Source organism: Homo sapiens, chromosome 3, assembly GCF_000001405.40.
Source record: "Homo sapiens chromosome 3, GRCh38.p14 Primary Assembly".
NCBI classification, from domain to species: domain Eukaryota; kingdom Metazoa; phylum Chordata; class Mammalia; order Primates; family Hominidae; genus Homo; species Homo sapiens.
Window position 1 is genome coordinate 184,773,182 of NC_000003.12, and position 27,010 is coordinate 184,800,191.

The 27,010-nt window shown below is 48.0% G+C and overlaps 1 long non-coding RNA gene across 4 annotated transcripts, besides 3 other annotated features; it reads left to right on the plus strand.

The window, feature by feature from the left end:
• The first annotated feature begins 78 nt into the window (after positions 1-78).
• LOC105374253 (uncharacterized) lies at positions 79-7,563 on the plus strand. 4 transcript variants are annotated; one of them, XR_924790.3, is made up of 4 exons: positions 79-453; positions 2,795-2,857; positions 2,986-6,338; positions 7,414-7,563. It is a non-coding gene; the product is annotated as an uncharacterized LOC105374253 (long non-coding RNA). The 4 variants fall into 4 exon arrangements; XR_007096196.1 differs by having other exon boundaries at positions 2,986-5,259; positions 5,454-7,563; XR_007096195.1 differs by having other exon boundaries at positions 2,986-7,563.
• Positions 4,620-4,914: a silencer, noted in NCBI's record as "tiled region #13352; HepG2 Repressive DNase unmatched - State 12:CtcfO". NCBI's record gives its function as "represses a minimal TATA promoter and a strong SV40 promoter by Sharpr-MPRA in HepG2 cells {active_cell/tissue: HepG2}" and the evidence as "EXISTENCE:reporter gene assay evidence [ECO:0000049][PMID:27701403]".
• Positions 7,928-8,428: an enhancer, noted in NCBI's record as "H3K4me1 hESC enhancer chr3:184498897-184499397 (GRCh37/hg19 assembly coordinates)". NCBI's record gives its function as "activates a minimal SCP1, AML or CMV promoter by ChIP-STARR-seq in naive H9 embryonic stem cells {active_cell/tissue: H9 hESC(naive)}" and the evidence as "EXISTENCE:reporter gene assay evidence [ECO:0000049][PMID:30033119]".
• Positions 17,287-17,787: an enhancer, noted in NCBI's record as "H3K4me1 hESC enhancer chr3:184508256-184508756 (GRCh37/hg19 assembly coordinates)". NCBI's record gives its function as "activates a minimal SCP1, AML or CMV promoter by ChIP-STARR-seq in primed H9 embryonic stem cells {active_cell/tissue: H9 hESC(primed)}" and the evidence as "EXISTENCE:reporter gene assay evidence [ECO:0000049][PMID:30033119]".

Sequence of the window (27,010 nt, forward strand, 5' to 3'; positions counted from 1 at the left end):
ACCCGGGTTTGAAAGATCTGGCCTACCAAATGAACTGTAATTATGCAGTCATAATGACTCTATTTTCTCTCTCTCTTTTTTTTTTTTTTTATTAATAAAAGACATATGTGACACACCACTCAGAGCTTTCAGTGGGGAGAAAACGAGTTTCCCCCACTAGGTTAATAGAATTCCACCCAGAGGCAGACAGTTAGCAAACCACCTTCTCGGGCTGTGGCTGGGAATCGCGCTACACTTGACAGCCCTTTCCATGGGCCTCCCCGGCCCGCCTGCCCTCGGCCCCGAAGTCAGGGGAGACAGGGGCCATTTCAGCTGCTCGCGCTCGCTTGCCTTCCCGTCCCTGCCGGAGTCAGCAGACCCTGACTTCTGGAGAAGCGTTGCTGCGATGTGTCAGCTGCTCGGGGAGAGGCTGGAGTGATGGATTCCAAGAGCTGTCAGGAGAAAGGGTTTACGGTCAGTTAGGAACCGCGAGCTCCTGCCCGTGGAACTGCCGCTGGAATTTTAATGCTCTGTCTCCCTGTGTCTGGGCACTTCCTTCCCTCCTGGCCCCGCTCTTCAGGCATATGGAACAGGGCTCATGTCGGAGGGTCCCTGGGGAGATCCCAGGGCTTCCCTGGGTCCCAGTGTCACGGCCGAAAGCCAGAGGTGCGGCTCCGACAGGATGCGGCCGGCCTTCCTGCTGCGCTGGGCCTTGGCCGGGGCCCTTTGGCGAGTCACTGTCCCGGGCTCTCTTCCCCTTCATGGCAGCAGCCAGGCCCTCCCTGCACAGGCCTTGAAGGGAGAGGAAAAATGGAACGCTAGCCTGGCTTCTTGACTTCCTTCAGGCAACGAATCCATCTTGAAGGCCCACTGTGTGCCAGGCGGGGATCCAGGAGCTGGGGAAGCAGACGCGGCCCCTGTCCTCATGGCACCTCTTCCGTGCGGTGCTCCACTCTCTCCCCCACGAAAGGTAGACACGGAACAGGAAAGGGAAAAGAGTGGAGGCCGCCAGGAGGAAGATCTGCAGACCGGAAGGACCTCAGCTAAGAGGAAATGAAGGCCAGGCGCAGTGGCTCAGGCCTGTAATCCCAGCACTTGGGGAGGCGGAGATGGGCAGATCACTCGAGGTCAGGAGTTCGAGACCACCCTGGCCAATACGGTGAAACACTGTCTCTACTAAAAATACAAAAATTAGCTGGGCATGGTGGCGGGCGCCTGTAGGCCCAGCTACTCGGGAGGCTGAGGCAGGAGAATGGCTTGAACCCAGGAGGCGGAGGTTGCTGTGAGGCAAGATGGCGCCACTGCACTCCAGCCTGGGCGACAGAGCGAGAGTCCATCTCAAAAAAAAAAAAAAAAAAAAAAAAGGAGGAAGCAAAATAGAAAAACAGGATCTGAATGATTTGGGAGCCAAAAGGACACTGTACGTCCCCGGCTTTCTGATCACGGCTCACTGCAGCCTCAAACTCCTGGGCTCAAAGTGATCCTCCTGCCTCAGCTCCCAAGGGGCTAGGACTACAGGTGTGTACTACCAAGTCTGATTAGTATTATTATTTTTTCTATTCTTTTTTTTTTTTTTTTTTTTTTTTTTTTTGTAGAGACAGGGTCTTGCTATGTTGACCAGGCTGGTCTCAAACTCCTGGCCTCAAGAAATTCTCCCGTCTTGGCCTCCCAAAGTGCTGGGATTACAGGCATGAGCCATCATGTCTGACCACTTATGCCCTTCCAGAAAAAAAAAAAAATTCCCCTCAATTTTCTTAAGCTGCTTGACATTCTGCTGTCATTCCAGAGCCATCCTGGCAGGAAAGCTTTCTGTTCTTTAAGAGTTGCCTCTGAAAATGCAATATTCCCACCCCCACCATCAAAGGGCTGCTGCTTAAATTACATCCCCTAAATCCTTAGTAGGAATGCAGTCTTCTGAGAAACCGGGCCAAGAACTGGGGACCAGGGGAAACTCCAGAGGACATAGATGAGCCCCACATGCTTTCCCACCCCTGCCTGGGCTGCGCCCCAGTGGGAATTGTGCTGTGAGTGTCCTGTGGCCATTGTTAGCCACTCAGAAGTGGGATGGGGTGGAAGACCTTCCCACACAGGAAGGCGGGGCCGTGTCTCTTGCTGTCTACTGTATCCTCAGCACCTGGTGTTGAGACTGGCACCTAGTAGCTGTTCAATAAATGTTTACTGAATGACTGGAAGAAGGGTGCCTTTCTCTAGCCATTTCCTCACCCAAGGTGGCCTTTGACTATTCTAGAAGGGGCAGAAGGGAGGAGGAAAAAAACTCCTCTCCTCTCTGCTGAAGGCTTGCTCTGCCCCAGGCTCTCTGCTGTGGCCTTGTGAGGCGGGCACATGCATGTCCTCCCATCTCTTCTATGGCACTTACTCCTGCCTCTGGCTCTGCCCACTGCCTCCTCTCCCCTCACCGTCTCCTCTGACCTCCTCACCTGGCCTCTTTCCCCACAACACCACTGAAACCACTCTGACGAAGGGCAGGGGTGATGTCCTGATGAAGCTGCTGGGAAACCCATTTTAGTCCTTACTGGTGGTGTTGGACCCTGTTGAATCCTTCTTTGTTCTTGCACCTCCTTCTTTCCTTGATACTATCCTCCCCTCATTCCCTGCACCTTCTGACCTTGGCTCATCTGTCCCCAAATCTACATTTCTTGCCTAAAAATTACTCTTAAGCATCAGACCCTCTACATCCGATGATTTTCACCTGGAGGTCCCAGAGGCAATGCATCCATGACCAAACTCAGCACCTTCCATCAGCTGTTTAATTATAATATCTGATTTTCTTCTCCTTCTCCTTCTTCTCCACTAGACTATGAGCAATCTGATGCTAGTCCCGATGTCTTGGTTATCTCTTGTGTATCCAGCACCCAAGGTAAGCTCCTGGCATATGGCGGGCATCCAGGAATGTTGAAAAATGACCCGTACAACTTAGAAGATGCAGCCTCTACAGATCAGTTTCCTCGTTTTTCCCTGAAACTGCTCTCATCTGTTTCCCCGCAGGGAAGGAGCATCCCATGGCTACAACTCTCAAGCATCGAAATGGAACCTGTGAGAGTTCTTCACCCCACAGGGAACTCCTTCCACCAAACTTAGGGGAGCGAGAAAGGGGTTGTAAGGACTTGCCTTTGTATCTCCCCAGCCCCTGCACAGGGCTGGATTTGCATATGTTAATATGGAGAACTGCAACTATTTAATGAGAAGCAGTGGGCCACGTGGGTGAGCAGAATTCCTTAGAGTATTTTTTTCAGATGTCTTAATTCACTCTCTCTTTGTTGTATTTCAGCAGATCCAGGTATTTGCACTGAGTTGGTCCTGGTCCCCACTCCTGTCCCCCAAATCTCTGAAACCACAGATCTCATTAGATGCCAGGCTCAGCCTTGTGTTTGGAGGGTGATGGTGGGCGGAGTGCTCTGCCTACCTGGAAGCAATGCCAGGATGGCTGGAGGTAGCCTACTCCAGGCCAAGGAGCCCCAGCCCAGAGGTTGGGCGGGGACGTGCCTGAGGGGGGTGGGGAGGAAAGGATAGAATTCCAAAGAGGAGAACCCTAGATGGAGAGAGCCCTCTGGGCTTTCAGCCCTTCATCTGGGTTCCACTAAAAACACATTTTGCGTGTTTCTGTTGTTCTTAAGTCTGGGTTTATTTCAAGGGGAAAGTTATAAAGAGACATCTCTCCCTTTATTTCAACAGCAGCTTGTGCTTGGGTAGATTCTCATTTGTCTTGTCTGTCCTGCCTGGAGGTAAAAGGAGTAGGTTGGGGTGGGGGTCCCAAGAGGCCCCAGGAGACCAAGGCCTCAGGCTGTGCTTGCCTCCAGTGTGTTAGACCAGTAGGTCTGTCACAGGTTCTGACCTTCCAGCTGATAGCAACACACACCGCCAGATGAGAGACTTGGGGGGTTGAGAATGAAAGGAAGGGACTTGGGGAAGCACAGAACAAGGAGAGGCCTGGTGAGGTGGCCCCACCTGGGAAACATCCACAGACAGACAGGCAAGTGACCATCCCCATGGCTGTTTGAGAGCCTTCCTCTCTGAACCCAGGGCAGCATCTGTCAGGTAGCCACCCAAGTGAGGCAGGGTTTTGCCCAGGTCGGAAGCCAGAGGTAGCATCCAGTCTCCCTAAGAATTCAGGTCCCAATCCAGTCTGAGAATCCCGAAGAGGACCCAGAGCCCTTGAATCAGTCCATACCTCAGAGACACAAAGAAGAAATGTCAGCGCTTGAAAGGCCCTTAGCCGTGTAACCCACTGCCCTCATTTCACAGATGAGGAAACAGGCCCAGGGAGGGAAAGCTCCTTGCCTAGGGCACACAGTGGGTCAGCGATGGGCTGGTCCTGCAGCCCGGGCCTCAGTGTTCTCTGCACTTTTCTACTTTTCCACCCTGCTGCTTACAAGGGTAGGCAAATGGCCACGTCTCCACGGAGGGATCCAAGGGTGCTAATAAACATGCCCACTCATGGACTCACACGCATACGTGCACAGAACGTGTACACTGGCCCTCGGATCCCATCAGCTGAGCTTGCCAGGGCTCCCCCAGATATAACCTGGGTCTCTCCTCCAGGGTCATCTTGGGCATTCAGGCTCCAGGCAGATGTAGGACTCAGGACACCATGGTGGATGGTCCTGTCTGCACAGAGCTGGTGCCAGACACAAAGAGAACTTGAGGCCCAGCACCCAGGCCCTGGCCTTCACCCACCAGCGAGAAATTCTTGCAGAGCCCTCTCTTGCTCTGAGACGGGCCTCTGCAATGACTCAAGTCGACTTGCTTAAGAAGGACTTGATTGCCACCTGGTGGCCATATCTGACATCTCACCCCAGTATCACAGTCCATTCATTTATCAAAGATGTATTGAGCCCCTGCTGTGAGCCAGGGAAGAAATATTTACTCTTGTTGAATGAATGAACATCCCCTACCCCCAAGAAGAGGTCAGTCCACTGTAGAAGACTGATATGCAAAGCAACAGTTACAATACAGGCTGATTAGTGTAATTATAGAGGTGAGCTTAGGATACAATGGAAGCTAAAATAAAAGGGAGGGGGAGTGGGAGAGGGTGTTAGTCCAGCTTCTATGTAAGGAGCCTAAGGAAGATTCCACCAGGGGCGTGGGTTGACATGCTTCCCGGGGTATGCATAAGCAATCAATAATTACATTCATTTGTCTAAGAGTTTTCATTTTACCAAAAGATTGCACTTGCATTTCCCAGTTCATCCTCCCAGTAGCGCCATGAAGTGTGTATAATTGTCCCCATTTTACAAAGGAGGACACTGAGGCTTGGAGGAGGTAAGTGATTTGCTCCATGTCACTGTCTGGTATTTGATGACTATAATTCCCAAACTACTCCCAACTGAATCAGACTCCCACGGGGAGGCGGGTGCACCAGGCGAGGGTTACAGATGGAGGTCGACTGCCTCTGCCACAGGAGAGTTGGCAAGTTGGGGGTTTGGATGGATAAGCAGCTCTCTCCCATCTCCCAGACAGTGGAGCACAGTTGAGCTCTGGAAGCAGCACAGTGATGCGTGGTGAGCCTCAGCCGGCGCAAATGCAAGCTGGAGGGTCCTGGGTTCAGTGGCTATGTCACAGCCTCATCACAGACCTGAAAATGGTGGGCATGAGAGGCAGACGTGTAATTTCCTCTTTACTACCGCCAGTCATGTGATTACAGCCGAGCTCAGGAGGGCCGGGTGAGCATTGCAGAAAGGCTGTAGCTAGATAGGATCCCTAGAGCCAGAGCAGGGTTGGGGAGTGCAACTCTAGGAAAAGCTTCATTTTCCACACCCACTCCACTCCCAAACATAAGCTGAAGGTCCCAGTGAACTCCGTTAAAGAAGAATGAAAAGTCTGATGCAGCTATTTAAAAACAGGCAGGCGTCAAGTGGCCAATGGCAGTCGAGTGCAGCCGGGGCAGCGCTCGGGAAAATCATCCACCACCGTCAGCCCTGGAGAGGCAGACCTGGGGTTCCCCGCAGAAGCGGGTGCGGGTCCATGTAGGCTACCCCGTCATCTTTGTGCCACGGAGCTAGTTCATCACGGGGCCTTGCTGATTCCTTCCCCAGCACGCCTCAACAATCCCGCTGCTCTCCTGAGACCCAAGCCCTTTCACTCTTTGCTTAGAAGTCCAGCTTTGTTTCCAAACTGTTTTCCCTTTCTCTTCTCCCTACAGCCTCCCTTGACAGGGCAGCTTTAGTGTCCGTGCTTCCCAGAACCAGTGCTGCATGCTCACCTGCTGGACTCCCCCAGGATGTATAGACATCTCATAAGAGTGGGGGCTGCCTCTGGGAAGGGACTGGAAAAAGGCTAAGGGGAAGGAGCTCGGGGGCTGGCAAGCCCGGATGCGACAAAGCACCGAGGTGGGCTTGAATGTGAGTGGCTGTGGTGGGTAGACAGGTGGGCTACTGTGCACGGGAAGTTTAGGTGAGGGAGGATGTTAAGACTCTCCTGGGCTGGGTGCGGTGGCTTCACGCCTGCAATCCCAGCTCTTTGGGAGTCCAAGGCAGGCAGATCACTTGAGCCCAGGAGTTTGAGACCAGCCCAGGCAACATGGTGAAACCTGTCTCTACAAAAAAAGTACAAAAAATTAACTGGGCATGGTGGTGCCTGCCTGTAGTCCCAGCCACTTGGGGTGGGTGGGTGGGGTGCTGAGGTGGGAGGATTGCTTGAGCCCAGGAGGTCAAGTCTGCAGGGAGTGGAGATCACACCACAGCACTCCAGCCTGGGCAACAGAGTGAGACCCTGTCTGTGAGGCTCGGACTTAATCCCGCTGAATCCTCAGTGCGGTCCTCTAAAGCCATGGAATTGAGAGAGGTAAAGTAACAAGCCCACGGTCACAAACCTAGTAACAGTGCGAAGATTCCAACCCAGGCCTCTGATGCCATGTGGTGTTTTCGCAAGAGCATCTTTTGACTTTGCTAATTTCTGGACATCATGTGGAGCCTTCTATGAAAGAGTCAAATATTTGGGAAGGCAAACATCAAAGGGAGTTAGTGCAGGTATTTTATGTAAGCGGATCGCCCTGCGGTGGTGTCTGATTTTCCTGCCAGCCCTGCCCTCTCCCAGGACACACGTTCTCTGCCATGCATTCGCTTCTGTCAGTGCTCTCTGGAACTGCATTTTCCAGGACTCCGTTACTCCCCAAGCATACAAATGCCTCTCCTTCATTTTTTTCCCATTAAGCAGATTTAAAGAATGAACTCAGAATCTTGGCCACCATTAATTTCACAGCTTACAATTATTTGCATCTCCCCCGCTTTTTTTTTGTTTTTTTTTTTCTTTGCTTGAGTCATTTTAAAAAGCCCTTATGATTTCCTTTAATCCTTTTGGTAGAGCAATTCCATTCTCTTCTCTCTTAACCTCCTCTCTCCGGAACGCCCCCCCTCCGCCTGAAAGCTTTAAATAATGCAGCAAATTCTTGTTTCGTTTCCTTTTCTCTGTTTCCAGATGGATTTTTCTCCCCAGAACATCCCTGGGAATCATTTCTGTCAGATGCTTCACTGGATGTCCCTTGGTCTTTACAGCCATCTATCCTCCTTCTCCAACCCCCACCTCGAATTGCAACTTGCTATTTTAATTATAGTTTCTCTTGCCACACTTGGGTTGTTTTTTTTTTCTCTTCTCAGTCTTCTACCTCGCTTAGATTTTAATCCCTTCTTCCAGTGCAGAAAATTCATTAAGATTTCTAGATTCCTCCCAATTTGCTTCCTTGATGTTGAATAATTCTTAGTCTATGTATGATGCTGATTGTTCAGATGTTGAATTAAGTTGCTAAGCAGTGGGGCCAGGAGGCCCTGTCCAAGTGCAGACTGAACCCCACTCCGGAGTGGAGCTGGGGTGTCCCTGGGTCATCTGGTCCCTGCAGTCCTGAAGCTGGCCCTCTCTAAGACCAGACCTCGGCCCCAGTGCAACCAGCCACCTGTGCCTGCCTCCCTGGCCACCCGATGAGAGGTCCTGGGATTGTTTGTCTTCGGTTCCATGGATTGATCCTTGCAGGCTGGGCCAGGCTGGCCCTGACCATAAGCCACCTGGGTCACCTGCAGCTGTTTCCCAGGTGCCTGCTAGGCCTGCAGGCTGGGGCTGCAGTTGGAAATGGGTCTGGGCAGGAAGTGAAGGGGGAAGTAACCTGTGTGGCTGGGGAGTCAATGAGGCCATCGTGTGAGGGGAGGACTGGAACGCAGTTCTATGATGCATTCCAGGGATAAAGGCTGAGTTACTCACCACAGAGAGGAATCGCTGAAAGCTGCCACCCATCCTGTTTGGGCTCACAAACCTGTCCCTGTTCTGTCCTTTGGATAGATATATAGGTCACTACTGGTGAAGGTCATTTACTGTGGGAGCATGTCAACATCAACCTTGAGCCTGGCTCAATTAGAAACATGGGGTGCTCTGAAGTGGCCTAAAAGTCCCTGGGAAAGGGTGATCCATTTACAGCTGCTTAACCTGGGGCAGGTCACCTCACCCCTCTGAACCTCAGGGCTGATATGAGACAACGTGCATGAAAGGTCACTACGTGGGCAACGCTGATATTATGATGCAGGTGAGGAGACGCAAGAGGCGGCATTCATTCCTTCATTCATTGCTACCTTGTTGTTAGAGATTTAAGGCAAGAGACACAACTGGAAAATGGACAAAGGAAAAATGATTTTGAGGATCTAGAGGATAAGATAAGGTCTGAGATTGTCTCAAGTGGGAATAAAGGAAGTAGAAGGGAGGGTGGCCCTGTAAAGTCAGGCGACCTCTACCTCAAGGTGAGGAGGAGAATGCAGCGGAGGAGGCCCTAGAGGACCTGGTACAGGATCAGTTGGAGAAGTGGGAGGGGCAGAGGGCTGCACATTCCTAATGAGCTTGCCCGCTAATCCCAGAGGGTTGCTGCACTGGGAAAGCACAGGCGGAGACCTCCTAAGATGTCTGGAATATCAAATAACATGGCAGAATGTGAGGCAAATAAATGAGTCAAAAACTTGGACTCTTATAACTCTGCAAATAATTCTTTTTTTTTTTTTTTGAGATGGAGTCTTGCTCTGTCACCCAGGCTGGAGTGCAGTGGCATGATCTCAGTTCACGGCAACCTCTGTCTCCTGGGTTCAAGCATTTCTCCTGCCTCAGCATCCCAAGTAGCTGGGAGTACAGATGCAAGCCACCAGGCCCAGCTAATTTTTATATTTTTAGTAGAGACAGGGTTTCACCATGTTGGCCAGGCTGGTCTCGAACTCCTGACCTCAAGCGATCCACTCGCCTTGGCCTCCCAAAGTGTTGGGATTACAGGTGTGAGCCACCGCGCCTGGCCTCTCTGCAAATAATTCTGACACCTGGGAGTTGCACTTTGTATATCATGCTTTTATATGCAAAGGACTTGTTTCAGCATGTCTGTTCCACTTCCTTGAATAGTGCAAGGGCAGTGGCAGTGCCAAGGAGTGGCTTGGAGAGGTATGTTTTATGCCCCTCATCTTCATGAATCACCCCCGCCTCCCCCCCTCAAAAAAACAACTAAAAATCATGTTTTTGACATGGGCGGGGGATGTCTTCTTACTCTTATGGAAAATGTGAGTACAAGCCCCTTTAGAAAAATTACTGTAAAGCATCAGATGAAGGCCGAGTGTGGTGGCTCACGCCTGTAATCCCAGCACTTTGAGAGGCCAAGGCAGGTGGATCACCTGAGTTCAGGAGTTCGACACCAGCCTGGCCAAGACAGTGAAACCCCGTCTCTACTAAAAATACAAAAGTTAGCTGTGCATGGTGGCAGGCGCCTGTAATTCCAGCTACTCTAGAGGCTGAGGCACGAGAATCGCTTGAACCCAGGAAGCAGAGGTTGCAGTGAGCCAAGATGGCACCACTGCACTCCAGCCTGGGTGACAGAGCAAGACTCCATCTCAAAAAATAAAAATAAGATAAATCAGTTGAATTCTACCACAGCTTTGAGACAAGTCCCTGGCCCTGCTTCCAACCAGATTGCTGTTTCTAAGTTTCTCCCAGGCAGACACCCTAGAGTCCCAGCTCCAAAGGTACTCCGCAACGAACAGAGTGGCCAGGAGGTGCTGGAGGAAGGGAAAGCCCTGTGTGGTCAGGAGTTCACGGGCAGTGGGGATTTTCAGCTGAGCTGGACACAGGGAGGGCAGAGGCAGACTTCCCTCGGAGAGGAGGGCAGAGACAAAGCCTAAGGCAATGGGAGCAAGTCTGGCTGTTCAGGGAGGCCCGGGGTTGGTCTGCTCAAAGGGAGGGTGTCTGGAAAGGAGGAGTAGGAGGTGAGGATGGAGAGATGGTGGTGCCGGATCAAAGGAGGCGTAAGTGCTGGGCGAAGGAAGCAGATCTGTGTCCCTGAGCAGGACCCAGCAGGAGGCTTCCATGCCAAAGAAAGTTTGGGTGAAAATAGGATTTTAGGAACATTAGTCATATATAGAATAAACTGGAGGATGGGGGAGGACCAGTCAGGAAGGTCAGTTAGGAGGTTTTGGCTGTGAGTCCCGCATGAGATGTAAGGACCTAGCCTAGCCGTGTATGGCATAGAAATAAAAGAACAGGCCCGGTATGGTGGCTCACTCCTGTAATCCCAGCACACTGGGAGGCCAAGGCAGATGGATCACCTGAGGTCAGGAGTTTGAGACCAGCCTGGCCAACATGGTGAAACACTGTCTCTACTAAAAATACAAAAATTAGCCAGGTGTGATGGCGTGCGCCTATAGTCCCAGCTACTCGGGAGGCTGAGGCAGGAGACTCACTTGAACCTGGGAGGCGGAGGTTGTGGTGAGCCGAGATAGCACCACTGCACTCCAGCCTGGGGGACAGAACAAGACTCCATCTCAAAAAAAAAAAAAGAAAAAGAAAAGAAAGAAAAGAATAAATAAGGCCGGGCACAGTGCCTCATGCCTATAATCCTAGCACTTTGGGAGGCCGAGGTGGGCAGATCACAAGGTCAGGAGTTTGAGACCAGCCTGACAAACATGGTGAAACCCTGTCCCTACTAAAAAAAAAAAATACAAAAAATTAGCTGGACATAGTGGTGGGCGCCTGTAATCCCAGCTACTTGGGAGTCTGAGGCAGGAGAATCTCTTGAACCTGGGAGGTGGAGGTTGCAGTGAGCCGAGATCGTGCCACTGCACTCCAGCCTGGGCGACAGAGTGAGACTCCTTCTCAAAAAATAAATAGCCGGGCGCGGTGGCTGACGCCTGTTAATCCCAGCACTTTGGGAGGCCAAGGAGGGCGGATCATGAGGTCAAGAGATCGAGACCATCCTGGCCAACTTGGTGAAACCCCGTCTCTACTAAAAATACAAAAATTAGCCAGGCATGGTGGCAGGCGTCTATAATCCCAGCTACTCAGGAGCCTGAGGCAGGAGGATTGCTGGAACCCAGAGGTGGAGGTTGCAGTGAGCTGAGATCGCACCACTACACTCCAGCCTGGCGACAGAGCAAGATCCTGTCTCAAAAAATAAAAATAAATAAATACATAAGAAGTGAAATGGAAGGGACGTGGCAATAGGAGGGGGCAGCCTGAGTAGGAACACAGGAAGGTTACGAGGGGAAGAATGCCCCAGAAGCAGACAACATGGGGACTTGATGTTCCCAGATGCATTCCCAGAAGGGAGCTAGTTAGTTAGGCTGGTTAGTTTCTGCTGTCCAGTCCTTGCTTATGTGGCACAAGAGCAGCAGAGAGATTTTCCACAAACCTCCCCTAGGAGACGGCAGAATGAGGCAGGCAGGGGTTAATATGGTTTGCAAATAAACTGCAGATTAATCCTCAGTGGTACTTAATGCAGGGTAAAACGTGATAAATTATTCACATCGTACAGCGTAATAAGCAGGTTGACTCCGCGGCACCAGGCCTCTTGAGCTGTATTTTACACTTAGTTCGTCCTCTTGTTCCTCTTATTTAATCATTTTCAGAACACCTGACTTAAATAGGTGTTTCAGGTCCCATTTTTTTTCCCTGAAAAAATAAATTAGATCATAGATTCATCTCATGACATTCTGACATTTGCCATCTTCTTACATTAGAATAAACATGATTAGAGAGAAAGGAGCTCAGGAATTAGGCACAGGAGGAAGATGAAATACACTTTTCCTGAGGTTACCCCTTCTGGTCTTTGTGCATGACGGTCGTTGTGCAGAGAGGCTACAGGAAGCTCATTTGCATGTGGGATACAAACCGAATTTGTGGTTAATCTGAAGGAATTAAATCTGCTATTTAGGGCTGACTGAGATTCTCTCTCCCGTGGAGTTGGGTGTCTGGGTAAGAGGTGCTCATAGCCCTCCAGGGTGTCTGTAAAATGTATTAGATGAATGGGGCTTTTGTAGCCAAAAGCCTCCCACTCGTGGGCAAGCTTTCAATGGTCCCAGTCCGTGGCAGCCAGCTCCCCTAAACCATGACTTGATTTCTGCCCTCCCTTCCTCAGGCAGATCTCCCCAAGAAGGGCCCGAGCCCCTGGGCGTAGAAGGCTTTTGCGGAGGGACACAGATTATGGACTGAGGTGGGCAACATGCTCAGGAGGAGCATGTTGGAGGAGGAGGAGTAAACTCAGACAGCACTGAGACGTGGGAAAAGAGAAGCTCAGGAAGAAGAGGCCGTGTGCTAGCCCCATGGCGATGGCCAAAGAATCAAAGACATGGTCCCTGGAGAAGGCCAAGCTGAGGTGGAAGGTGTGGGTGCAGGGCAACAGCCAAGGGTGGGAATAAAGCTTTGGGAGAGAAAGTCAGGGATCGCAGAAAGAAAAAGGAGCCGGAAAAATGGGAAGAAGCAGAAAAGAGAATGAACGGCAGGAAGTGTAGGCAGCAGAGTCTCAGTCCCCAGCGATTCTGATGAACTAAGCTGAGCTAAGGGTAGATTAACAGCGTTGTCATCTTTCCTCTCCCAAGCCAGCTTCTTCAACAGGGTGCACGCACATGCGCGCGCGCGCGCACACACACACGTATATATAGTTTCTGATTTCTTTATTGCATCACTCTCTGTAAAGTGCTTGGCACACTCAAACTGCAAAATTCAATGATGTGCTAGGGGTACCCTCTCCTTTACTTCAAATTCCAGGCTCAGCAGGACGTTTTTGATGCTTAATTGTAAATATGAGACAGATGGGGACTAATAAGGTCTGCAAAATGCTGAGAAAGTGGTGGGCTCTTTGTGTCCCAGAAGTGAGGTTTCAGTCCCCTGGGCAGCCGATTCAGCATGTCTGGTGAGATTGGACAGTGGTTCTGACCAGGAGCTGTTCCTGTGGGATGGAGCCGAGGGCTGGGAGCCGTTTCCTGCAAAGGGAAGACTGGCAGCAAACGTTTAGAAGCAAGATTCTCATGGCTATCCAGCAATGACCTCAGACATTCCAGATTTCGTTGGGGGATGGCAGTGGCTCATATACAGTATGTTATGTAAGAAACCAGAGAGAGAGAGAGAGGAGGGCAGCCCACGTTTCTCAATGGCTATGGAAAGCTGAAAACACTCTGATTTTCATGATTGAGGCAAGAAGCATCTGATGCTGTTAACAGTGACAAGTACCAAAAAGAGTGAGAATTGCTGCAGGAAGAAACCCAGCAGTCTTTTGGGAGTCTGGTAGGCAGGTCCGGAGCTAAGGAAACATCACACCCCAGCCAAAGCTGAAGTTGCTGAGAGCACGAGAAGGGCTGAGCTGTCTGTGTGTTGCCAGGCTTGGACCCACCGCAGTCCCACTTCCGGCTTCCTGAGCAGTTTCATCAGAGCTTCCTTATTAGTCCTGCCTAGCAGTGGCTGTTGAGCCCAATGTCAGCAGCAGGCTCTGGAATATTGCCTGTCCACCATCAGCATGGAAGGGAGGCCCCCTGCCCAGACTCTCCTGGGCAAGATGGTGCTGGGGACAGCTGGCAGCGATGTGGAGGCCTGAAATGGAGAGTTCTCAGCCACGGAGGCAGAATGGCTTCCAGGCCCCCTTGCAAACACACATAGTGCAGCAGAGCCATGAACTTGGGGGAAAAGTTAAAGTTTGCACCACTCTCTCTCAGCACAGTTCTTCTGAATGTCTTACCTAAGGTTGGTCATTACTTCATGTGGTCAATCAAACGAAATCAATGTTTATTTAGCTGACATTTAAGACCAGCCCTCAAGGAGCTCACAGTCCAGAGAGTCCACTCTGAGGGACAGACAATGTAACTTATCATCTCGTACTGAGGTAAGTGCAATGGCAGATGTTTGAAGAAGGTAGAGAAATGGCGTAGAAGAGGGGAGAAGTGATATCTGAGGTGGACTTTAAGGGATACATAATAAAAACCAGCATTCCATGCTTACCACGTTCCAGACATGGTGCTAGAACCTTCCGTCAATGAACTCAATTATCAGAAAAGCCTGGGAGGTAGGTTCTGTTATTCCCATTTTACAAACAGACGCACAGAGGGCTTAGGAAAGCGATCCAAATGTACATAGCTAGTAAGACGGAAAGTAGGATTTGATGCAACTACATTTTTTTTTTTTTTTTGAGATAGGGTCTCAATCTGTAGCCCAGACTGGAGTGCAGTGGCAAGATCTTGGCTCACTGCAACCTCCACCTCCCAGGTTCATGCAATTCTCCTGCCTCACCTCCCAAGTTGCTGGGATTACAGGGGCATACCACTTACCGCCCGGCTAATTTTTATATTTTTGGTAGAGACAGGGGTTTCACCATGTTGGCCAGGCTGGTCTTGAACTCCTGACCTCAAATGATCCACCCACCTCGGCCTCCCAAAGTGCTAGGATGACAGGTGTGAGCCACCGTACCTGGCCTGATGCCATTACATTTGACTGCCTTTCTAAGATATTAAATGATGAAGGTGCCTTCCTGGGATAAGAAGTAGAGGAAAGCATGGCAGGCAGAGAGAATAGAATACGCAAAGCATGGAGGCGTGAGATCACATGGCTCAGTATTACAAGAACAGGAAGTGTGAGAGCAGGAAGGAGTGGAATGTGAGGCTGGAGAAGTAGATGGGTCTGCGAGGTTGGATTTCCTGCTCTTGTCATGGGGCATCACTGAAGGATTCTTAGAGACAGAGTCACAGGTACACGTTTAAGAAAGACCACTCTTGGCTGGGCGCGCTGGCTCATGCCCGTAATCCCAGCACTTTGGGAGGCTGAGGCAGGCGGATTGCTTGAGGACAGGAATTTGAGACCAGCCCGGCCAACATGGTGAAGCCATGTTTAGTAGAGGCCCTTCTCTACTAAAAATACAAAAATTAGTAGGGCGTGGTGGCCCATGCCTGTAATCCCAGCTGCTCGGGAGGCAGAGGTTAGAAAATCACTTGGACCCAGGAGGTGGAGGTTGCAGTGAACGGAGATCATGCCATTGCACTCCAGTCTGGGTGACAGAGTGAGACTCTATCTCAAAAAAAAAAAGGAAAAAGAAAAAGAAAAGAAAGACCACTCTTCGCTGCAGGATGACTTGGGTTGATGGCAGCAAAGGAGAACAATTAGGAGACTATCATAACAGTGACAGTGAAATCACTGGGTACTGTGCTAAGACAGTGAAAGGAGACATCTTTTTAACAGGAATTTTTGGAAGATCCAATCAACAGGCCTTGGTGGTAACTACATGTGGGGAGTAAGGCGGGGGAGGTGTAGAGGAAGAGTCCTCGGTTTCTGGCTTGGGAACTGCTATGGCCACTAGCAGGTTTGTAAGAAGGGGAAGGAAGGGAACCAGTAAGTTCAATTCTGGACATGCTGCTTTGGGGTGCCTGTGGGGCCTTCAAGTATGTGGAGAGCTGCAGGCAACTGGATATGCAGGTCTTGGTGGCCATTGGCCACAGCTCCCTCTTTTCTGCCCCATCCTGCAGACAGTCCCTCACTGGGAGCACAGTGGCAGGAAACATGAGACGCTGGGATCTGGCATTGGCACAGCTGAGTGTGATTAATGCAGAAGAAATGAAGGCGGTATTGGATGGCAACGAACCCAGACTCTGTTAGATGTGGCAGAAAGTGATCAAAGCGGATGGGATAAAGGTGGTAATGGATGATCAGAATATTCACTCCACTAGACAATGGGGATTCTTAAGTGAGTTGAAGAGAGGGGACTTCAATAAAGGCACAACTATCTTTTATTTTTAGTGTCAACCTTTAGTGTAATACAACAAAACTTGTCAAGCAGTTGCCTTATTCATTGACTCAAAGTTTATTGAACACCTGGTGTGTGCCTGGGCCTTTATAAGAGCTGAGGATACATCAGTGAACAAGACAAAAATCTCTGCCCTTAAGGAGCTTATTTCCTGGCTAGGGAGGGTGGGGAAACAAATGATAAGCAGAAGAAGAAATAAAATATATAATCTTTGGGTATCCACTGGCTTATACAACACCTTCATGCAAATTAGAAAAAGGCCACACTTGTGTGTGGGTGGAGGAAACCCTGTGCCAGGGCACACAGCTCGGCAAGCAGAGCCTGGGCTCACTCTTGCTTGGCAAGGCATCCAATCTGCACAGCTTTATCTGGTGGCCCCATATGGAACACCAATTGTCTGATGGAGAAAAATAAAGCAGGATAAGAGAGACAGGCGGTAAAGAGAGAAGGGTTGCAATTCAAAAGAAGAGGGTTAGAGAAGGCCTCCGTGAGAAAATGACATCTGAGCAAAGACACCAAGGGGATGAGGAAGCAAGCCATGTGGCTATCTGGGGAAGACTCCCAGGCAGTGGGGCCAGCCAGTGCGAAGGCTTGAGACAGGAGCATGCCTGGCTATTTGAGGAATGGCAAGGAGGCCAGTGTGGCGGGAGCAGGGAGACCAAGAGGAAGAGAGTAGGGGACTGGATGGGAAAGGCAGCTGGGGGCCAGAGAGTGCCTCCTAGGCCCCTGTAAGAACATTGGTATTCACTCTGGATGCCATGGGAAGTCTTGGAAGAATTTTGAGTAGGGAGCTACATGATTTGACTGACTTTTTACGAGCTCCATCTGGCTGCTGGGTTGAACATACTGTACAGGAGGGGAGGTGGAAGCAGGGGCTCACTGAGGAGGCCGCCGTGATTACCGAGGTGAGGAGTGATGGTTGTGCAGACCAGGGAGGTGGCAGTGGAGATCAGGAGGAGTGCTCAGATTCCAGATATATTTCGTAAAGCCAGCAGAATTTGCTGACGGGTTGGAAGTGTGGTGGGAGAGAAGGATGACTCCAAGGTTTCTGACCTGGACAATGGAAGAATGAAGTTGCCATTTATTGAGAAAAAGAAGGCTGTGGAAGGAAACACGATTGGGCATAACATCAAACATTTTAATTTGAGCACTGATTTGTGAACATGCAAAATGACCCTCCCCTGTAACAGGTTCTGACCCTGCAACAACTCATATTACAGAGGACAAAACCAAGACCCAGAACAACTTGCATAAATCTTGCCCAGCTCATAAGTGACAGAACCAGGGTTCAAACGAATCTGTCTGCTCCCACATCTGTGCACTTTGCCCCATACTGCATGGACTCAGGGAATTCCTGCTCCACTGAGGAACCCATAGAAACTAGACTGTGAGCTGTTGGGAGCCGAGGCTGTGTCTCACTCTCCTCTGTAGTCCCAGTGTTGGGATTTTGTTGGAGGAACCAGCAAATAACACTCCTCTCAACTTGATTTTGGAACCTTTGGAGAGACAGACACAGGAATCATGCAGATAGGAAGATCGGCTTTATTTGTTGATTGATTTATTATTATTATTATTTTTTGAGACGGAGTTTTGCTCTTATTGCCCAGGCTAGAGTGCAGTGGCGCAATCTCAGCTCACTGCAACCTCCACCTTCCGGTTTCAAGCGATTCTCCTGCCTCGGCCGCCCAAGTCGCTGGGATTACAGGCGCCCGCCACCACGCCCAGCTATTTTTTTTGTATTTTTAGTAGAGACGGGGTTTCACCATGTTGACCAGGCTGGTCTCAAACTGCTGACCTGGTGATCCACCTGCCTCGGCCTCCCAAAGTGCTGGGATTTCAGGCGTGAGCCACTGCGCCCAGCCCGATCGGCTTTATCTTTGATCACTCTGGGGTGGAAGATGATACCTCAGTGTGTGGCCACAGTAGGCTTCCTGATGTTCCCCTGACCAGGCAGAGCTTGGACACTGCAAGTCTCTGCCTGGAGCCTTCACCTGAAGAAGCAACGTGAAGCAGGTATCTGGCAGGCAGATTGGTTCTGAGAGAGAAAGGGAGAGGAAGGGGTTGAGCTTCTCAGGCTCAGATCTTCCTTTCAAATTCACTATCAGATAAATCCCTTCTCTTCCCATGGGGAGGAGTAGGGAGCGAGGCCAGTAGGGTTATTCTAGCTGCAGTCCTTCCCCATGGAAACATAAAGCACAGAAATGAAAGTACCCCCTCCCCCACTCCAGCACAGCCTGGCACACAATAGGTGCTCGGTAAGTGTTTACAGTTTGTGTGTGTGTGTGTGTGTGTGGCTAAAATACAAGCAGGCACTTCTACCTAGTGAACACTATAGAAGGCACTCTTTATACACATTCACTTCCCATTATTATCCCATGAGGTAGAAACTACTTTTCTTTCCATTTTACAAATGAGAAAGTGAAGGCATTGAAAGGTTTTGAACTTGACCTAGGATGGAGCCAGGACTTAAACCAGGTGGTTTATTGGAGTCAGAGTAGATAAGCAGCACAGGTATTCCCCTCACTCTGCTGTGCTGGTGATGATCCCAGGCAGGAAGGACATTATTAGACATTAGCACGAAGCGCATGGGAAAGCAGGCGAGAGAGCAGTTAATTCTGCCTAGAGCTGGGGTCGGGGCGCAGAGGCAGAGACAGGCAGTCACAGAAAGAAGATGAGAGCTGACTTGAGTCTTCAAAGACAAGTAGGGATTTGCCAAAGGGTTAAGATTAGTGGAGGGAGGAGATGGCATTCTAGGTGGAACAGCTTGGACAAACATCCTAGATCTGAACAGTGCTTGGGGAATAGTGAATGGACCAGATTGCTCAAAATACAGATCACAAAATGGCAGCCCACCCTCCAAAGTCAACTGCAGATGTGAGTTGTTTGGCGTGTACAGTATATACACATATTTAAGTTGTCTCAACATTTAAAAATTGAGTGATTTCACCAAACACTCTGGACTTTTGGCTTTTCTTGAAAAACCAGAAGATAACCCTAAGTAACGCTAGGCATGTATTCCCATATGGCCACCTTTTTTGAGCCCTAAGAAGCTGCTAGCTCCTTCAGATGAACATGTGCTCCCCAGCTGGCCTCAACCCCCACCACTCCCCAGCACTTCCATTTTCACCCATTTACTTAACTAGCCCATCTTGCTCCTATGGGCACTTGAGTTTGCAACCCTTGGGCTAGATGTTTGGATGAAGTTTTGAAGGGCCTGGTGTGCCATGCCAAAGAGGGGATTTGGGAGTCTTTAAAGGTTGTTAAACAGAGGAGTGCATGATGGGATGAGTACAGAAGATGGGATAGGTGGGAGAGAGATGGAAGCAATATTGAAATTAGTAGGCACAAGGGTCAAATGGTTTCTCCTGGAGAATTCTTCTTCAGGCAGAAGTAGTAGCAATTGTTCCAGGTGAGTCATAGTTCTGGACTGGACTTGGAGTTAGACAGCCTGAATTATTGTTTTTTTTAAAAAAAATTTTATTTCCATAGATTATTGGGGAACAGGTGGTGTTCGGTGACATGAGTAAGTTCTTAGTGGTGATTTGTGAGATTTTGGTGCACTCATCACCCAAGAAGTCTACACTGCACCCAATTTGTAGTCTTTTATCCCTCACCTGCTTCTCATCCTTTCCTTCTGAGTCCCCAAAGTCCATTGTGGCATTCTTATGCCTTTGCATCCTCACTGCTTAGCTCCCACTTATGAGGGAGAACATGTAATGTTTGGTTTTCCATTCCTGAGTTTCTTCACTTAGAACAATAGTCTCCAATCTCATCCAGGTTTCTGAGAATGCCATTAATTCATTCCTTTTATGGCTGAGTTGTATTCCATCATATATATATATGATATACCACAGCTTCTTTATCCACTTGTTAATTAATGGGCATTTGGGTTGGTTCCACATTTTTGCAATTATGAATTGTGCTGCTATAAATATGCTTGTGCAAGTATCTTTTTCGTATAATGATGTCTTTTCCTCTGGGTAGATACCAGTAATGGGATTGCCGGATCAAATGGTAGTTCTACTTTTTTAGTTCTTTAAGGAATCTCCATGCTGTTTTCCTTAGTGGTTGTACTCGTTTACATTTCCACCAGCAGTGTAAAAGTGTTCCCTGTTCATTGCATCCATGCCAATATCTATAATCTTTTGATTTTTTGATTATGGTCGTTCTTGCAGGAGTAAGGTGGTATCAGATTGTGGATTTGATTGGCGTTTCCCTGATCATTAGTGATGTTGAGTATTTTTTCATATATATGTTGGTCATTTTCATACTTTTTTTTTGAAAATTGTCTATTCATGTCCTTAGCCCACTTTTTTCTTTTAAGGAGTCTTGCTTTGTTGCCCAGGCTGGAGTGCAGTGGCAGGATCTTGGTTCACTGCAACCTCTGTCTCTCAGGTTCAAGCAATTCTCATGCTTCAGCTTCCCTGAGTAGCTTGGATTACAGGCATCTGCCACTATGCCCAGCTAATTTTTGTATTTTTAGTAGAGACCGGGTTTCGTCATGTTGGCCAGGCTGGTTTCGAACCCCTGACCTCAGGTGATCCTCTGGCCTCAGCCTCCCAAAGTGCTGGGATTACAGGCATGAGCCACTGGGCCCAGCCTGGAGGAATCTTTAGGGTTTTCTGGGTATACAATGATATCATCAGCAAACAATGACAGTTTGACTTCCTCTTTACTGATTTGGATGCCCTTTTTTTCTTTCTCTTGTCTGATTGCTCTGGCTAGGACTTCCAGTACTATGTTGAAGAGAAGTGGTGAGAGTGGGCATCCTTGTCTCGTTCCAGTTATCAGGGAGAATGCTTTCAAATTTTCCCCATTCAGTATTATGTCAGCAGTGGGTTTTTCATAGATGGCTTTTATTATATTGAGGTATGTCCCTTGTATGCTGATTTTGCTGAAAGTTTTAATCATAAAGGGATGCTGGATTTTTTTTTTTTTTTTTGAGACAGAGTCTCACTCTGTTGTCCAGGCTGGAGTGCAGTGTTGTGATCTCGGCTCACTGCACCCTCTGCCTCCCAGGTTCAAGCGATTCTCCTGCCTCAGCCTCCTGAGTAGCTGGGATTACAGGCATGCGCCACCATGCCAGGCTAATTTTTGTATTTTTAATAGAGATGGGGTTTTGCCATGTTGGCCAGACTTGTCTTGAACTCCTGACCTCAGGTGATCCACTGACCTCAGACTCCCAAAGTGCCGGGATTACAGGCGTGAGCCACTGTACCCAGCTGGGCTGCTGGATTTTGTGGAATGTTTTTTCTGCATCTATTGAGATGATCATGTGATTTTTGTTTTAAATTCTGTTTATGTGGTGTATCACATTTATTGACTTGCATATGTTAATATGTATCTGTATTAGAGGGCCTGTATCTAGAGGGCCTGAATTAAAACAGAAGAATGAATGATCCTCCTTCTTTCAAACACTGTTACCTTCACCTCTCCAGTAAGTTCCATCTGGTCTGTTTAGAAAATAAGAAAATGGGCTGGGCATGGTGGCAATCCTAGCACTTTTGAGACGCCAATGTGGGTGGATCGCTTGAGCTCAGGAGTTTGAGACCAGCCTGGGCAACATGGAGAAACCCTGTCTCTACAAAAAATGCAAACATTAGCCAGGTGTGATGGTGCACATGTGTAGTTCCAGTTCCTCAGGAGGCTGAGTTGGGAGGATCACTTGAGCCTGGGAGGCAGAGGCTGCAGTGAGCCGAGATTGCACCACTGCACTCCAACCTGGGCAACAGAATGAGACCCTGTCTCAAAAAGAAAGAGAGAGAGAGAGAGAGAGAGAGAGAGAGAGAGAGAGAGAGAGAGAGAGAGAAAGACAGAGAGAGGAAAGAAAGAGAGAGAGAAAGAAAATAAAAAGAGAGAAAGACAATAAAAAGAGAAAAACAAAGAAAGAAAGAGAAAAAGAGAGAGAGAAAGAAAGAACCAACGAACCTGGGTACCTCTGGCAAGCCACTTTAACTTCTTTGAGCCTCAGTTTCCTCCACTGTAAAACAGGAATAGCATTACCATCAATAGCATCGCATGAGGAAAGGTGTTTGAACACGTTTGTGGATGGTAGGGGTCCTAGGGAGTTAGAGGATTGCTGGGGTTGATACAGGAAGGCCCCACATGTTGGCTTGGCTCTGAGGTGTCAGACCTCTAGAGGTGGCACAAACCACACAATAGCTGTGGTTCCTGCTGTCCTGGGACTTTTAACAATGACACAAGCCACATCAAGCTGCTTGAACAAGAACATGTGCATAATGTTCTTGTTTCCACCCCATACACCCATGAAGTCAGGTGCAGGGGCAAAAGCCCAGGGTGTGGTCTGAGTTGGATTTGGCTTCTGGGTTTGGGGCAGGGCCCGGGGGATTCAAATCTCCTCTGTCCTGCACACAGCATCATGGTGACTTGGGGATGGAGGCTGCACAGTCAGCCTGGCTGTTTGCAGCCTCTCTGCTCCTCCCTCCCTTCTCTGCTCTGCTGCTCCCTCCCTCCCCCTCCCCCTCACTGTCTCCAGCCCTGCAATCCATCACAGCTCTGTGTCCCTGCCCTCTGTGACCGCGTCTCTCTGCACCACTACTTTTGCATTTTGATGTTAAAACAATATTTTACCCAATATATGACAGCACTTGGAGCCTTTGCAAAGGCCTTTCACATCTGTTATTTCATTTGATCCTCACCAGGTTGCTGTCAGGTAGGCAGGGAAGGTATTATTAGTGAGGGTGGTAGTCAAAATATTTAACAGCCCATATATGATGGGCTCAACCATCAGAGTGGATGCAGGTCTAGTGCTGGAGAGGGCCCTGGAGGCATCTTCTCTTAGTTATTGGAGCAAGGTCTGGGGGAGGGGGCACTGGCGTGGGGACCTGGAAGTCTGGGGCAGTCCAGTGTGGGTGGGGGCAGACATGAAGGATTCAGGGAAGTGGCTTTTTGCCAAGCAGTCTGGAAGCATTTCTGTTTTTTCCTTTTCTTTTTATTTCTTTTTCTTTCCTTTTTTTTTTTTTTTTTTTTTTTGAGACAGAGTTTCGCTCTTATTGCCCAGGCTGGAGTGCAATGGCGCAATATCTCAGCTCACCACAACCTCCGCCTCCCGAATTCAAGCAGTTTTCCTGCCTCAGCTTCCCAAGTAGCTGGGATTACAGTCATGCACCACAACGCCTGGTTAATTTTGTATTTTTAGCAGAGACAGGGTTTTCCCATGTTGGTCTGTCTGGTCTTGAACTCCCGACCTCCGGTGATCTGCCTGCCTCAGCCTCCCAAAGTGCTGGGATTACAGGCATGAACCACTGCGCCCAGCCTCTGTTCTTTTTGTTTTTTGTTTTGTTGTTTGTTTTTTAGCAGGATTGAACTGTACTAGTGCTTACCATGGTCTGTAATTATCTGTCCAATTGTGGTAATGTGGGAACCGAGGTCCAGAGAGGTGAGTAACTTGCCCAGGGTGCAGGATGAAAAGAGGGCCGGCGGTGAGGTCGCTGGACTCCTCAAGCAGAGGTTTTTCTGCCGCCCCAGAGTGCAGGCAGATGCAAGGGCTTTCTTTGTCACCTCCTTCTTCCTGACAGAACAGCAGCCTTGGACAATGGCGAACAGCACTCTTGAAATCTGATCCCGGACCTCACACTTCTCTCCACACTTCTGTCACCATGTCTTCTTATCTTCTCACTGTCTCCTCTGTCTCACCCTCATGTGTCAAGACTCTGCCCCTGAATTCCCTCGCTTGACTGTCTCCTTGATTTCTCCATGGACTCCCACACCATCTGCTAGTTAGTACCTTGCTGGGAGCAATTTCCAGAAACTCCCTGAGGCCCTGATTCTGCTCCTGAGCTGCCCATTGGATATCTCTCAGATGTCCTGCTAGCTACCTCAAGTCAACATGTCCCAAAGGGACCTCACCACCTTTTCCTCCCAAACCAGTCCTCCCCTGTGACCTTGCTATGCCTGTAAGTGGTACCACCGTTCTTAATCCTCCTGGACCACACGGACCACCCGCTGGCACAGTGCCCATAATGGCCATCCACCTGCTGTGGCCTAATGCTTTGGAGACCCCAGTGAAGATCAGTTCTGAAGTTGAGACTGAGGCTGGGTCTGGCTTCCTGCAGCCCTTGTCCTACCCTGAGATCATGACCCCATCTTCCTTTGCACTGGTGTGTTCATTTTTTTGTAAATATAATGCTATTTTTATTGAAATAATTCATATGTACTACTTAAAACCAAATAGTCCTACTAAGTATATAATGAAAAAACAGATTGCTCCCTGTGTCATTTCTTTTTACTTGTGATTACTACTCCTTAGAGGTAATTGCAACATTTTTTGCTGTTTCTTCAGGTATTTACCTCCATTTTTCAAATGCGGTAAATGGTAATCTTAGATTTTTTCATTCTGGACATTATCTATTGATTTTTAATAAAGATGCTGTCAATATCCCATCTGTATGCCTTAGACTAAGCTTGTCCAACCTTCAGCCATAGGCAACATGTGGCTCAGGACGGCTTTGAATGTAGCCCAACATAAATTTGTAAACTTTCTTAAAACGTTGAGTTTTTGTGTGATTTATTTATTTATTTATTTATTTTTGATGGAGTCTCTTGCTTTGTCGCCCAGGCTGGAGTGCAGTGGCACGATCTCAGCTCACTGCAAGCTCCGCCTCCCAGGTTCACGCCATTCTTCTGTCTCAGCCTCCTGAGTTGCTGGGACTACAGGCGCCCACCACCACGCTTGGCTAATTTTTTTTTTTTTTTGTATTTTTAGTAGAGACGGGGTTTCACCGTGTAAGCTAGGATGGTCTGGATCTCCTGACTTCGTGATCCGCCCTCCTTGGCCTCCCAAAGTGCTGGGATTACAGGCATGAGCCACCACGCCTGGCCTTTTTTTTTTTTTCCTCACCATCTATTGTTAGTGTTAGTGTATTTTATGTGTGGCCCAAGACAATTATTCTTCTTCCAATGTGGCCCAGAGAAGCCAAAAGTTTGGACATCCCTGCCTTAGACATTTCTAAGCAGCATTCTTCCTTACTTCTAACTGCCGGGGGCTGCATCTCTGTATCTGAAAGCTTCTGGGGTCTGCCCTCACAGACTAGACATACCTAGAAATTAATATGCCATCTCCCCCAATCCCAGCAGTCCTCAACTAATGGCTGTCAGGAGCTGGAGTATAAATACCTCAGCTCCCTCCCCCATGGGTGCGATAATTCCAAAGCATGTGTTTTGCCCCATTTCCCAGAGTTTTCCCAGTAAGATTAAGCTCCAATCGCCCACAGCTGTGCCTGGCTTAATCACACATTCTTTATTGGCTGTTTTCCCTTCCCTACATCACTTTCCCAACTCCCTGTGCAAGCTGTCCCCTGCATTTCCCAAATAAACTACTTAAGTCTCAGAGTCTGCTTCTGGGGAAACCCAAACTAAGATAACTTCCTTATAGGAAGATGAGGATTTACCTTCCTGCCAACTTCTTTCCCTGAACACATTCTCTTAATATCATTGTAGCATGGTTTTTAGTTAAATCAACATTCAGTATATACATTATTATGACTATGTAAATATTGCTTGCAACCGAGCAACATAAACTAGGATTATATTTTTTAAAAAAGCATTTCCCTTTAGAGTTAATAATACCTTCTTTCTTTTCTTTGCTTAGTTTTCTATGTACTTATCACTAATTTGTCCCCAACTCTCTTATAGAGTAGAACTCTATATAGTAAAATAAATCATGTTATCTCTATGTTCTATTATTTCCTTGGAAACCACTCCTGAAGCCTGGAGTTTTCCTGCTCCAATGTGGACTGGTTGCTTTCCTGGTTTGCTACGCAACTATTATCCTGGGGCTCCCTTCATTATCATTCTAGAAAGTTCTTTTCCCTCTCTCTCCTATATGAATTCCCCTATTGTCTGTGTCCCATGTCTTCTTTCATGATTTACTTTCTCTTCACGTCTTTTATGAGAATGGGTACATCAGAGACAAATTATTTGAAATCTGGAATGTCTGCAAATAACTTTGTTCGTGTTTTATTGACAATTTGACTTGCTAGAGAATTCTAGAAAAAAAATTGTCTCCCAGAATTTGGTGGAAATTTGTCTACTGTCTTCTAGCTTCTTCTTTTTTTTAAATAATTTTTAAAATGATTTAAAAATTTTTAAATGATTTATTTGGTAATTATTCCCCAGACTTTTCTCAGTTCCTCCTTCTGGAGCTCCTGCTTTTATTTGTTTCTATTTTACTTTACATAGTAATTTATTTCAAAAGTATATTTAATACTTACACATGTATTATTTTATTAGCTACTTTGTAATATGATTATACATTTTTGCATTTGAAATGCTTTATATATTTAATTCTGCAATTTTTTAATTTTATGAATTCTGTTTTTTACAATGTTATTGAGGTATATTTGAGTTTTATAAAATTTCCCCATTTTGAGTGTACAATTTAATGGCTTCACTGGGCGCAGTGGCACCTGCCTATAATCTTAGCTACTCACGAGGCTGAAGTGGGAAGACTGCTTGAATCCAGGGGTTTGAGACCAGCCTGGGCAATATATGAAGACTCCACCTTAAAAAAAAAAAAAGACTTTTAAATTCACCAAGTTCTACAACCATCACCACAAACAAATTTTAGAATGTTTCCATCACCCCAGTAAGATCCCTCATGCCCATTCCAGCATTTTTTCCCAGTGTATTCTGAACCCCAATCATTTGTAGGTGACCTAGTTTTTCCTCTCTACAAGGTTCTGCTCTTTATTTCTGATATGTTACAATGATGTGCCTTAATGTGATTTTTTTTTACTATCCTGGAAAATTTTCAAAGAATTTATTTGGTAATTATTCCCCAAACTTTTCTCAGTTTCTTCCTACGGGAATTCCTGTTATTCTGGCATTGAGCCTTCTGGAGTAATTGTTTGATGCTTTAATCTTTTTCTTTTATTAATTCTTTTTGTCTTTATTTGCCTTATTTTTAGGAGATTTTCTAGTTTTTTGTCTTCTAAACCTATACAATATTAAAACTTTAGCAATCTTGATTTCCAAGAGCCCATTCTT